The sequence below is a fragment of the Homo sapiens genome, chromosome 18, assembly GCF_000001405.40.
Source record: "Homo sapiens chromosome 18, GRCh38.p14 Primary Assembly".
NCBI classification, from domain to species: Eukaryota; Metazoa; Chordata; class Mammalia; order Primates; family Hominidae; genus Homo; species Homo sapiens.
The window spans coordinates 25,220,043-25,232,615 of record NC_000018.10 but is presented as its reverse complement, the minus strand read 5'-3'; the positions used below and the strand labels follow the sequence as shown (position 1 = coordinate 25,232,615).

Below are 12,573 nucleotides of genomic sequence, written 5' to 3'. Positions count from 1 at the left end.
AAGCACAGATTTATGGTCTATTAACATTTAGGTATCACCAGCTATTTATCTTTTATTTTCTTGCTAGCTGCGTATACAACTGTGAAAGCTTAAGGCACTGTAGATTGCCATTGGGTCAGTCCTTAAAATTAATATTCCTGAGATTGCATTAAAGGAAAGAAAATATTAAAATATGTTTATGCTATATTCATAGAAGCTTACACATGGAAACAGAAATACATGCAACACATATAAATCTTTTTGTTTACATATGCAGCTTTTCTTCCAGCCATGATAAGGTGCCCTAGAAACATTCACTAGTCTTTGTAACACCCCAGAGGGTAAGTAGCAAGAATTCTTATCTTCATATTGCAGGTGAAATACCTAGGTAGGGGCAGATTAAATGACTTAGCCAGGTCACTCTCTAAGTCAGTTATGAAGCTAGAAATAAAACTCCAGGATCTTGACTTTTGGTTCCTACACAAGTATCAGACCCATCAGTATTTGTGCTTCTTCTCCTCACTTGAAAAGTAACCATTGATGTAAATCCTGTCCCTGTTAAGGAAATCTTGCTGTGTGGCACTAGCACACATGATACTGAGTCCCCGATGGGCAGTTAAGAGGGTACTCTGCTGTTGCAGTGAACAAGCTCAGGTAGCAAAAGGATATTGTTAAGCCAGTTTCTTGCAGACCAGGCCCTATGAAGAACATTATCAGAAGTTTCCATAACTTCAGAGAAAGTATTTTCATCTACTTTCTTACATTAGTTTCTCTTGAATAATTTCAGATTGCCCCTAGTGTTGGAATCAATCTTCTGAAAGGCTTGGTCCCTGTCCTCAGGAAGTGTATGTCCTACACAAATTAAGACCCGCTTAATCATAAACAAAGTAAGCATTAACATTAGTCTAGCCCTTCTGCACATATTCTCTTCCTCTCTCTTTGATCTTATTTTCTAATTTCTGGCTAATTTGATTAGTCTTGAACACCAGCGAGTGGCCAGAACCCTCAGCATTTCTCTTCCACAATGGCAGGCTGTAAACAGACTCTCAGACCCTCATTTGCGTGCTTGTCTGTCCATCAGCAGGAGCTAGGATCAAATCACGTCCAGTCTCTGCTTCCTCCTCCCCAGGTTGGCACACGAGGGGCTGATGGCTCACGTCACAAAGGTACTCTGTGTTCTGTTGCCTTTTTTCTGTGGAATAACTCCTTCTGGTATGACTTCACTTTTCTGTTAGTGAGCACTTTCCCCCATAAATATGCCTGAACAGGTGTTACTCTGCTGCTAACTGAGTTTCCAGCTGTCCTCCTCCAACACAGACCCAGCAAAATCTGTTGTTTCGTCCTTTTAGGCAGACTAGAGAAGCGCCTAGCCTGAGATGGAGGTCTTCCTTGCAGGATATGGCCGTTCTGCTGCCAGAAGATGGTCCGGAAAGCCTGGCTGGCTAACAAAGACAGGCCTTCAGCGGCTGGGTGTAGTTCCAGTTCTGCATCCCCTTTGGCAGAAACACAGAGGCTGCTGCAGTGTGGCCAGCCAGCGAAATTAGGAAATAAGGACCTCTTTTATTTACTCAGGCTGCTGAATCATGGGCATTCCTGTCTGCTTGGAGAAAAGTCAGGCGGCTCTACTTTCCACTGAAAGTCTCAGGAGTGTTGGAGACTTTCATCTCGGAGTGTTCACACACTTGTTTTAATGTGCTTTATGGAAATGGTGAAACTCAGCAAGTACAGTTGCTGTAGAAAAACATCTGCACTAACCATGCACACACATTTGCATCTTTAAATAGACTTTTTAGGCCACAGAGCTGGTTTCTAGCAAAGCTTTTTCGGCAGTAAGAGCTACAGCTCTCGGAGAGTCAGCTCAAGTGAAGAGACTGGTTTCAAAAATTAAAATTTAACATGGACATGTTAAGTACTTCACATTGAAATGCAGAAAACTTGCCATCACCCAGAAAGACAGTCCCTGTAAGTAGCACTTAGTGCCAAAGGGAAAAAAAGTTAAAGTTGATTCAGGAACCTGAGTTGAAAGAATCTTCTACAGTTTCTTCCACGTGTAAAAAGAAATTGACATCGTTTAAACCTATATTCACCATTTAAGCTTAGTTTGCACTGTGGCTGCCAAAAAGCCTAAGTTAATGGGGATGGATAACTCTCAAAGTCTTAGGTAGACCTCAGAGTATGTTGGCGGGGAGACCATCACCACAAAAGTCTTGGAGGAGTCTGATACCTGAAGAGTGTGGACCAACCCGCTTGGAGTAGTGAGTCCCTGTGTGTTCTTTGGAGAACACAATCCATTTACAGTACTGGCAAATGAGAGTTTTTACATTTTATATTTTAAAACAGAAATCAGCCTTTCAGGGATGCTTTATTTATTTTTCTATAAGTATTATTCCTTGCTCAAACTATTTACTTCTGCTCAATCCCCACGCCTTATGACTTCTAGAGGGGGTGTTGTGTAATTTCCTTTACAAAGACAAGTAATGGGGACTGGAGAGAAGAAAGAAAAGGTTTCTGCTCTCTTGAATCCTGGTTAAAACCTTGATCCTAACCTTCAGCTCACTTGACGTGTCACTGAAATTTACAAGCTTAAGAGAACAGTTATATAATAGATATAGTCAGGCATGGACCACAGACAAGAACCTGAATTAAGCCTGGTGTTAGGGATTGCATAATTTTTATAATGGTCCATTGCTCTATAATTCTTTATGTATTTGTAAAAAATATATCATACCTGGACACAATCTGCAATTTAATTATAAATTCACTTGCTCAATTTTCAAGCTCAATAGTTACATCCTTCTAGGCTGGATGCATTACAAATTCTGATTCACTGTTTTCCCCAAATGTATAAATGAGAAGATGTGTTTGAAAATATTTTTTAAATGAAATAGCAGGATTTAAGCCTAAAAGATAAATGTGAAATGTGGTAGATTTTACCTAGAATGTTGAGTACATTTAATAGATGGCCTTTTTTTTCAATTAGGGTAAATATTTGAAACCTTGATTTGTTTCAGGTATATTAGCTTTAGGTGACAACACTTTTTTAAGGGGAAAACTAGATCATTATTGAGTTTTTTTGCTTTTAGTTAAATTTTTTTTTTTGTATGTTGAGTGGTGAGTTGAGTTTATCTGCATATGTTCCTGGTGTATTCACTTTAAGTATAAATCACATCCACATCCATCAGACCCTTTCTTATGCTGGAAACATGTTGGGTTATAGAGTCCTATAAATGAGGATGCAAAATCATGCGGTTTTCAACTTGTATGGCGAAGCTTTGTTGCAGTGGGCAAGGATCCAGGAATGGTGTTTGGTTGTTTTCTCAGAGTGAGAGGGTTGCCATCTGGCATTGATAGTGAGATGGTGTTGTCATCAGTTTCTAGATGCAGGAAAGGAATGATCCTCATCTGTTTCCTGTGGATAAGGAAGAGGCTGACAATCTAGTAAAATCTTGTTACCTTAAAGAAAGCAGACATGGAATTCGTTTACATAATGCTCACCAGTTTCTACTTTTATATTAATCATTTAGCTTGCTAGTGAACTTCAGCTTTGAAGAATTTAAAAACTTATTTGAACATACTCTAATTGAATACCATTAGAATATTCTAATAATGCTCTAACTGAGCCTCTTATTCTAACTGAAACACTATCCCCACCAGCTCCACTCCATGGTCTTTACTTGTGTGTTTTTTTGAAAAATCGTGCTCCTTTGGAGAGTGGAAAGCTTTTAAAGTTTCTTCTGATCTTGAATAATAGGTTATGAAAAGCAAAAAAGAGGTTTCACAACCTGCTTTGAGATGGTCTTATTTTCCACTTGGATATCAAGAAAGCAACAGAAATAACAGTGCACGTTTGCTAAGAACATAGTTTTTAAAATCACCTAATATAAGGTAACATTCCTTTATGGATAACTTGCTAAGTTTATATCTGGCTCTCAGTCTTGTTTGTCTTCTTTTTGTCACTCATAAATCTTTCAGCATTTACCATAATCATTTATCACTTTTCCTGTTTCCAGTTTTTCACAAGTTGCTTTGTCTCTGCTCACCTCAAAGTGCAGGTCCTGTTTAGCTAAGGAAGTTCAGGCTGCTGAAGCTTTTGCAAAAGGAAGATATGGTGGGCCACCTCTTGAACTTTCCAAACAAAATACACTATTAAAATCTGGCCCTTGTGAAACTCTCATTTTTTCTTGATCCTAGCTGATCCTAGCTACATGTAATATCTAGCAGTACCCTTCTAACATTTAATAATCCATTTTCTGGCCTATGGAATTCGAATTTCAGTTATTGAAGAAATCCTGGTTATCTTTCATTACACAAGACATAATTATTATTGTGTTTTCTGTCTTCTTTCATGTGCTTACTTTTTAATATTTTTTTGCTGAAAGCAATAAGGTCTGTATCAATAAGAACCCCGTAACAGATTTTGGTCTGCAGAATTGCCTTTTTATATAAAAACAAGCAAAATGCAGAGGGAATTTTTTATTAAATATTAGACATCTGGGTTGACTGCATTAATTTTAAATCATTCCCGTAATATTTCCTCTTTTCATTTGGTTCTTCAGATGCTCACATAATATGCAAATCATTTTAGAAGGAATACAAAAGAAACATTAAATATATTAAAATCTGCATTTTAATAAAATTGTCAATGTGTAATATATACCTTGCTTCTAAGGAAGAATGATAAAAAGTAATAAAAGGGTAATTTAGACATAGAACTATTTAATATCCTCTTATATTTTACAACTCAACAAAAAGTAAATGCAGAATAACTGCTTTGGGCTCAGATTTGAAAATGTCTCACTCAAATATTCTCTCTTTTCATTTTGTTTTTTCTTGAAAGATTCAAGAGGGCCCAACTCTGCGTGCTGGTTGAAATGCTACGGTAAACTCACTCTTGAATCTCAACATGTCAGATGAAATTTGTCATTGCTTCTTGTTGCAGATGGAGTGGATGTTGAAGATGATCCGACTTGCTCTTGGCCAGCTTCCTCACCTTCTAGCAAGGATCAGACTTCCCCTAGCCATGGAGAAGGTTGCGATTTTGGAGAGGAAGAAGGTGGCCCTGGGCTTCCATACCCGTGTCAATTCTGTGACAAGTCGTTTAGCCGCCTCAGCTACCTAAAGCACCATGAGCAGAGTCACAGTGACAAACTGCCTTTCAAATGCACCTACTGCAGTAGGCTGTTCAAACACAAGCGCAGCCGAGATCGCCACATAAAACTCCACACCGGGGACAAGAAGTACCACTGCAGTGAATGTGATGCTGCGTTTTCCAGAAGTGATCACTTGAAGATCCACTTAAAGACTCACACGTCCAACAAGCCATATAAATGTGCCATTTGTCGCCGTGGGTTTCTGTCCTCTAGTTCCTTACACGGACACATGCAGGTTCATGAGAGGAACAAGGACGGCTCTCAGTCCGGTTCCAGGATGGAGGACTGGAAGATGAAGGACACTCAGAAGTGCAGTCAGTGTGAGGAAGGCTTTGACTTCCCGGAAGACCTCCAAAAACACATTGCAGAGTGCCACCCCGAATGCTCCCCAAATGAGGACCGAGCGGCCCTCCAGTGTGTCTACTGCCACGAGCTCTTCGTAGAGGAGACCTCCCTCATGAACCACATGGAGCAGGTGCATAGCGGGGAGAAGAAGAACTCATGCAGCATTTGTTCTGAGAGTTTCCACACAGTTGAGGAACTGTACAGCCACATGGACAGTCACCAGCAACCGGAGTCATGCAATCACAGCAACAGCCCTTCCCTGGTCACGGTGGGCTATACCTCCGTGTCCAGTACGACTCCAGATTCCAACCTCTCAGTGGACAGCTCAACCATGGTGGAAGCTGCCCCGCCAATCCCAAAGAGTCGAGGGAGGAAGAGGGCCGCTCAACAAACCCCTGACATGACTGGTCCCTCGAGTAAACAAGCAAAAGTTACCTACAGCTGTATTTACTGCAACAAACAATTATTTTCAAGTCTTGCAGTTCTGCAGATTCACCTGAAAACTATGCACTTAGATAAGCCAGAACAGGCCCATATTTGTCAGTATTGCTTGGAGGTCCTGCCCTCACTCTATAACCTAAATGAACATCTTAAGCAAGTGCATGAAGCTCAGGACCCAGGTCTGATTGTTTCTGCCATGCCTGCCATTGTCTACCAGTGTAACTTCTGTTCCGAAGTTGTCAACGACCTCAACACTCTTCAGGAACACATCCGATGTTCTCATGGATTTGCAAACCCTGCAGCTAAAGATAGTAATGCATTCTTTTGTCCCCATTGCTATATGGGGTTTCTCACTGACTCTTCCCTGGAAGAGCATATTAGACAGGTTCATTGTGACCTCAGTGGCTCCCGATTTGGGTCTCCAGTGCTTGGGACTCCCAAAGAACCAGTAGTAGAAGTCTATTCTTGTTCCTATTGTACAAATTCGCCAATATTCAACAGCGTTCTTAAACTGAACAAGCATATCAAAGAGAATCATAAAAACATTCCCTTGGCCCTGAATTATATCCACAATGGGAAGAAATCCAGGGCCTTAAGCCCCCTATCTCCTGTGGCCATAGAGCAGACATCTCTTAAGATGATGCAGGCAGTAGGAGGTGCACCTGCACGTCCCACTGGAGAATATATCTGTAATCAATGTGGTGCTAAGTACACATCCCTAGACAGCTTTCAGACTCACCTAAAAACTCATCTCGACACTGTGCTTCCAAAATTGACCTGTCCTCAGTGCAACAAGGAATTCCCCAACCAAGAATCCTTGCTGAAGCATGTTACCATTCACTTTATGATCACTTCAACGTATTACATCTGTGAGAGTTGTGACAAGCAATTCACATCAGTGGATGACCTTCAGAAACACCTGCTGGACATGCACACCTTTGTCTTCTTTCGCTGCACCCTCTGCCAGGAAGTTTTTGACTCAAAAGTCTCCATTCAGCTCCACTTGGCTGTGAAGCACAGTAACGAAAAGAAAGTCTATAGGTGCACATCTTGCAACTGGGACTTCCGCAACGAAACTGACTTGCAGCTCCATGTGAAACACAACCACCTGGAAAACCAAGGGAAAGTGCATAAGTGCATTTTCTGCGGTGAGTCCTTTGGCACCGAGGTGGAGCTGCAATGCCACATCACCACTCACAGTAAGAAGTACAACTGCAAGTTCTGTAGCAAAGCCTTCCATGCGATCATTTTGTTAGAAAAACACTTGCGAGAAAAACACTGTGTATTCGAAACCAAGACACCCAACTGTGGAACAAATGGAGCTTCCGAGCAAGTGCAGAAAGAGGAAGTGGAGCTGCAGACTTTGCTGACCAACAGCCAGGAGTCCCACAACAGTCACGATGGGAGCGAAGAAGACGTTGACACCTCTGAGCCTATGTACGGCTGCGACATTTGTGGGGCAGCCTACACTATGGAAACTTTGCTGCAGAATCACCAGCTCCGAGACCACAACATCAGACCTGGAGAAAGTGCCATCGTGAAAAAGAAAGCTGAGCTCATTAAAGGGAATTACAAGTGCAACGTGTGCTCTCGAACCTTCTTCTCCGAAAATGGCCTCCGGGAACATATGCAGACCCACCTAGGCCCTGTCAAACACTACATGTGCCCTATTTGCGGAGAGCGGTTTCCCTCCCTTTTAACTCTTACTGAACACAAAGTCACGCATAGTAAGAGTCTTGATACTGGAAACTGCCGGATTTGCAAGATGCCTCTCCAGAGTGAAGAGGAGTTTTTAGAGCATTGCCAAATGCACCCTGACTTGAGGAATTCCCTGACAGGCTTTCGCTGCGTGGTGTGCATGCAGACAGTGACCTCCACCTTGGAACTCAAAATCCATGGGACGTTCCACATGCAAAAGACAGGGAATGGGTCTGCAGTTCAGACCACAGGGCGGGGCCAGCACGTCCAAAAACTGTATAAGTGCGCATCTTGCCTCAAAGAATTCCGTTCCAAGCAAGATCTGGTGAAACTTGATATCAATGGCCTGCCATATGGTCTGTGTGCCGGCTGCGTGAATCTCAGTAAGAGCGCCAGCCCAGGCATTAACGTCCCTCCCGGCACGAATAGACCAGGCTTGGGCCAGAATGAGAATCTGAGTGCCATTGAGGGGAAAGGCAAGGTGGGGGGACTGAAGACACGCTGCTCTAGCTGCAACGTTAAGTTTGAGTCTGAAAGTGAACTCCAGAACCACATCCAAACCATCCACCGAGAGCTCGTGCCAGACAGCAACAGCACACAGTTGAAAACGCCCCAAGTATCACCAATGCCCAGAATCAGTCCCTCCCAGTCGGATGAGGTAACTCGCCTTTTTTAATGTTTGCTATTTAACCTCCTCAAGAAACGGTCCCTGCTTTATGTTTACACTCTCCACAGCTTTATTTATTGTCATGGGCCAAAAGATGCTTAGATTGAAATGCAGTGGGTTTCTTTTTCCCCCATAGCCATTAGCTAGCAATTACTTGCTTCTTGATAAGCAGCATTTTGGCTTGAATGGTGCAAAATAGGACTAATTCCAGTCTCCCTAGGATATTGTCTTCTCTATGACTGAAGAGACCAGCGCTCATGCCAACACTACTGAGATCTGGAATCTCAGCATAGCTTCACCGTGAGTTGAAATCCCCAGCTATGACTTGTGTGTATGGCAGAGAGATAATGACTCAAAAGTAAGATGCTATGAGCCACCATGCTGGCTTAGAGTAAATTAAAAAGAATATATATATTTGGGGATAACAAATTGGGTAGGGGTGGCTTTTTAATGCCATGTTGTCAACACTCACTGTTTTTCTTTGTCTTCTGGGTAGAGAGGAAAATACTTCCTCACAACAGGATTTTTAAAAATCCCCTACATTTATTAAGCACCACATGCCCATTATTCTGTTTAAAGACACTATCCCTGAGTTTGAGGCCTACTCTCTGGGTTTCAAAATCAATGTGTGCGTTTTTTTTTTTCTCCTTAGTTTCAGAGTAGTTTTCTGCTTTCTTTGCCGTGACGAGTACAAAAAACAAGTTCATTTATAATGAAATCATTTCATAAGTCATCATTTCTTAGTAGCTGAGCAGAGGATGGCTCATTTTAATATTTCTTTATGCTTTATCACCTGGTTTCTAAAAGCTCTTTCCACTTCCCTACCTGCCCCTATCTGGAGATCCATCCAAATGAAAACCCCAGGGAGATCCTTCTCCCTTCAGTTTGGGGTTACTGCATTTTCCTTATCTTGTCTCTGCACTCACACCCTGGCGGAGGCCCCCCTGTGGCTCCCTGCAGATAGCCATCAGTCAGCTGGCAGGGGCGGGCTGAGAAGACTGAGACAGAGCCTGGCCTCACAAAATGTGGCATCTGTGTGGCAGGCAAACTCCCAAACTTTGAAGCCACTTTCCCCCTTCTCCCCTCCCCAAGTAAATCTGCACTTTTCTCTCATTTAAATACATGAAATCCTTTCAAACTGCTGAGGACAGCTGGAAGAACATAGCTTTGATTATGGCTCATAGCTCATGGGTTGGATCAAATTGTTTCTTTTGAAACAAATATTAGTAGTTAAAAGCATATGAAATGAGGGTTTTCCAAGTTTTTACTTCGGAATTTTTTAAACCTATAGAAAAGTTAAAGGACCAACACAGCGAACACGTATGTGTGCCTGTGTATGGGTATCCCCAGGTCCTCCAGATAAGAATATTTTGTAGCGTTTTCTCTCTCTCTGCACCCCTTTTTAAAATCAACTTCAGCCACATGAAAGAAAGTTGCAGGTATCATGACATCTCCTAAGAATAAGGGTATTTTTTTGTTCAATTATGACATCATTAGCTAAAGCAATTCACTAAATTAAAAAAGGAAATTAAGTAATCCCATAATATCGTCTGTAAGAGGTTCATATTTAGATTTCCTCAGTTGTCCCCAAAATGTCTCATATTTTTAAGTTTTTGAATGAGAATTCTGAAAACATTAAGGCAGAAAATTACTCTTCTCCTTTGTTTTTATTTTGTAATGCTTAACATATGCCTACAAGAGATTGATACTCATGTTTAATTTACAAAGTGTGTAAAGTTGATTTTAAATGACTGCATTAGTCTGTGTGTCTGTGTGTGTGATTTTGGTGTTGCTTGTGCATTTTAAATGAGGCATAGCTGGACTCTCTTGTTTCTTAGTAGATTGTTTATGAAAGGGCATATGCCTGTGTCTTCTTATCTGTTCATGGTTTGTATTTTCTGATATTTATAAATTGCTGTAATTATAATAACATCTAAGAGGAAATATTTCAAAAACGAATGAGGACATATAAATAGTATTTACACATTAAGTTGGTTAGAATTACTCGATGAGGAGAATTTATCATTAAGGCTCGAATGACACCTAAAATCTTAGTGATATTTAGAAAGCCTATCTTTATCCTGCACTTACATAGGATAATACTTCAAATATTTTTTAAAATACTTGTTTAAGTTTTACAATTGCATTTTTAAAGTACCTAATGACTAAGGGTCAAAAATGACTATGCAGTCGAGTACCTCCCTATGAAACCTGATTAATAAGAGCTTAGAGTGGTATGCTTAATTGATGAGATATTAGGATTTAGTTTCAAATATTTCTTAGTGCCTCAAAAGTTCACTAATTTGTTCAACATTTTAATCATCGTTACTATCGCCATTTTTAAATTCATCATACTATTTGTTATAAAATTTTGTATGATACTCTCTACAATTAAATATGTACAATATACCATATTATTTAGACTAATATAGAAAATTATCTAAATATACACAAAGTTTTACAAAAAGAAGCCTAAAAATAATATGTCAGCAAGAAAAATACAAAATAAATACTCATTTGTTCACATTCTTTGTTAGCCAAGTTAAATTTCTATAAGTTCTCATTTTGAGGAGTTTGTGCATTTTTTCCAGATTAGGTAAAATGAAATGTTATTATATAAGTCTTTGTCAAAAGACAGGTGTATCATATAGGAATAAATTTTATCACAAAAAGAAATGTGACATATATGTCTATTGACTTAGATGCCCTAGGTAGCAATTGAAGGACTTAGCAACATAGGTGGTATTTTCATCTCTTCTTCTTGCTGAGGCTTGAGACTCCAGAAGTGAAAAGAAAATCACAGGAGATAAGAAAACCTGGATACATAGGTATGGTCAAGAACAAGGTTAGATTTTTCTGGACCATGACTTAGAATTACATAGAATATCGGTAAACATTTGTGTCCATCTTTCAAAGACTAAAAAGAATATTATATGATTGAGACTAGGTAGGATACCTAATTAAAAGGGATTTAAACTTAAATATAAATCTGGGGAGGATAAGTACTATATAAAACCCTGCAATCCAAAAAATGGATGAAAGACAAGGCATGCAACACTAAAAGAAGGATAATTGTTGGTAGCTGTTATGTAATAGAGAGATTTGAAATCGAAGGCAGATCTGAGTTTGAATCCCATTTCTTCTGCCTAATGCTTTCTGAATTTGTGAAAAATGTTTTCTTTGTGCCAGAATCCTCAGATTATTAATCTAAATTTGCAGTGAAGATTTTGTTTTGAATAAAATATTTTGGAGAACCTATTCATTTTTCTTTGCTCCTCAAAGGTTGAGTGTGATAGAAATTTACACATAACCTACAATAAATGATTCCAGGGATGGTAAGGTTAACTGGGGACAGGAAGAACACTGGCCCTTTAGCTGTTTCCACACATGAAGCACCTTGCAGTTATTGACATTTACTATACGTTGAATAAATGTTGATTCTTCTGGAGTTCATGGGCACTGTCTACTCAGGGGCTGCCCCATCTGGACCTCAGAATGTTGTCTCATGACTTTGAAGTTCTACAGTAGATTTTGGAAACACGTATTCTTCTGCCTCCTTTTTCTAGTGTGCTTCTTAGTCAAGTTTCCCTGAGCAACTATTTACTCACATTTCAATTCACACTGTCCTCACCAGTCCTTTGAAATTGCTCTTGCCAGCATTACCATTATCCTCATGATCTCCATGTCGCGAGATGTGCATAGGGTGCCACAGAATCAAAATAGAAGGAACAGTGTAGACCATCTGACTCAGCCACTTTATTTTACAGACAAGAAAACAGGGGCGGGTAAATAGAGGATTGTCTAAGATCACACAGCCAGTAAGTGGTAGGCAAGGGGTTAGAGTTCAGGTTAACTCCAGGTTCAGGATTCTCTTTCCACAATCCCGTGGCACTTTCCTCTAGCTGCAGTTGAATCCCCGTCTTTTCTACAGCATCCTCTCGGTACTCCTGTCTTCTTTCTCTTCTCCTTCAGTTCCCTCACCCATTGCCCAGGATCTTCTGCATTCGTCACTTTATTGCAGCTGACTCCAAGGGCTCTTCTGGCCTAATTGACCAATGCATTGTACTTAGAGAAACAAAAAGATAGTATATCTTAGTTATTATTGTCTCTAAGCACTTGTCACTGTTGGCCAGTCCACTTTTATGGGGCCTCTGTCTTCCTTCCTGGCTTCCTGGTTGCCTCTGTGAACGCCCTGTGGCCTCTCCTTCTTTTGCTAGCCCCTTCCTGTAGGTTTGTTTCCCCCTCATTGCTCTCAGTCTGCATATCCCCTCCATGGGGCCTCCTTCGCTCCCA

General features: G+C 40.5%; 1 protein-coding gene across 11 annotated transcripts in view, besides 2 other annotated features; it reads left to right on the top strand.

The window, feature by feature from the left end:
* Positions 1-12,573, top strand: part of ZNF521 (zinc finger protein 521) — a 290,243-nt gene that overhangs the window by 119,551 nt on the left and 158,119 nt on the right. For 9 of the 11 annotated variants that reach the window (XM_017025697.3, NM_001308225.2, XM_011525909.4 and 6 more), the window contains one exon: positions 4,919-8,271. In XM_017025697.3, the coding sequence (XP_016881186.1) occupies positions 5,359-8,271 (2,913 nt within the window). In that variant the 5' untranslated portion in view covers positions 4,919-5,358. Of the gene's footprint in view, positions 1-4,918; positions 8,272-8,500; positions 11,539-12,573 lie in introns of those variants that run through there. The other 2 variants (XM_047437474.1, XM_011525910.4) reach the window with 1 other exon arrangement.
* Positions 1,555-1,674: an enhancer, noted in NCBI's record as "active region_13173". NCBI's record gives its function as "activates an Ori minimal core promoter by ATAC-STARR-seq in GM12878 lymphoblastoid cells {active_cell/tissue: GM12878}" and the evidence as "EXISTENCE:reporter gene assay evidence [ECO:0000049][PMID:35858748]".
* Positions 2,596-4,246: an enhancer, noted in NCBI's record as "VISTA enhancer hs1653". NCBI's record gives its function as "enhancer in: blood vessels[5/8]" and the evidence as "EXISTENCE:transgenic organism evidence [ECO:0001131][PMID:17130149]".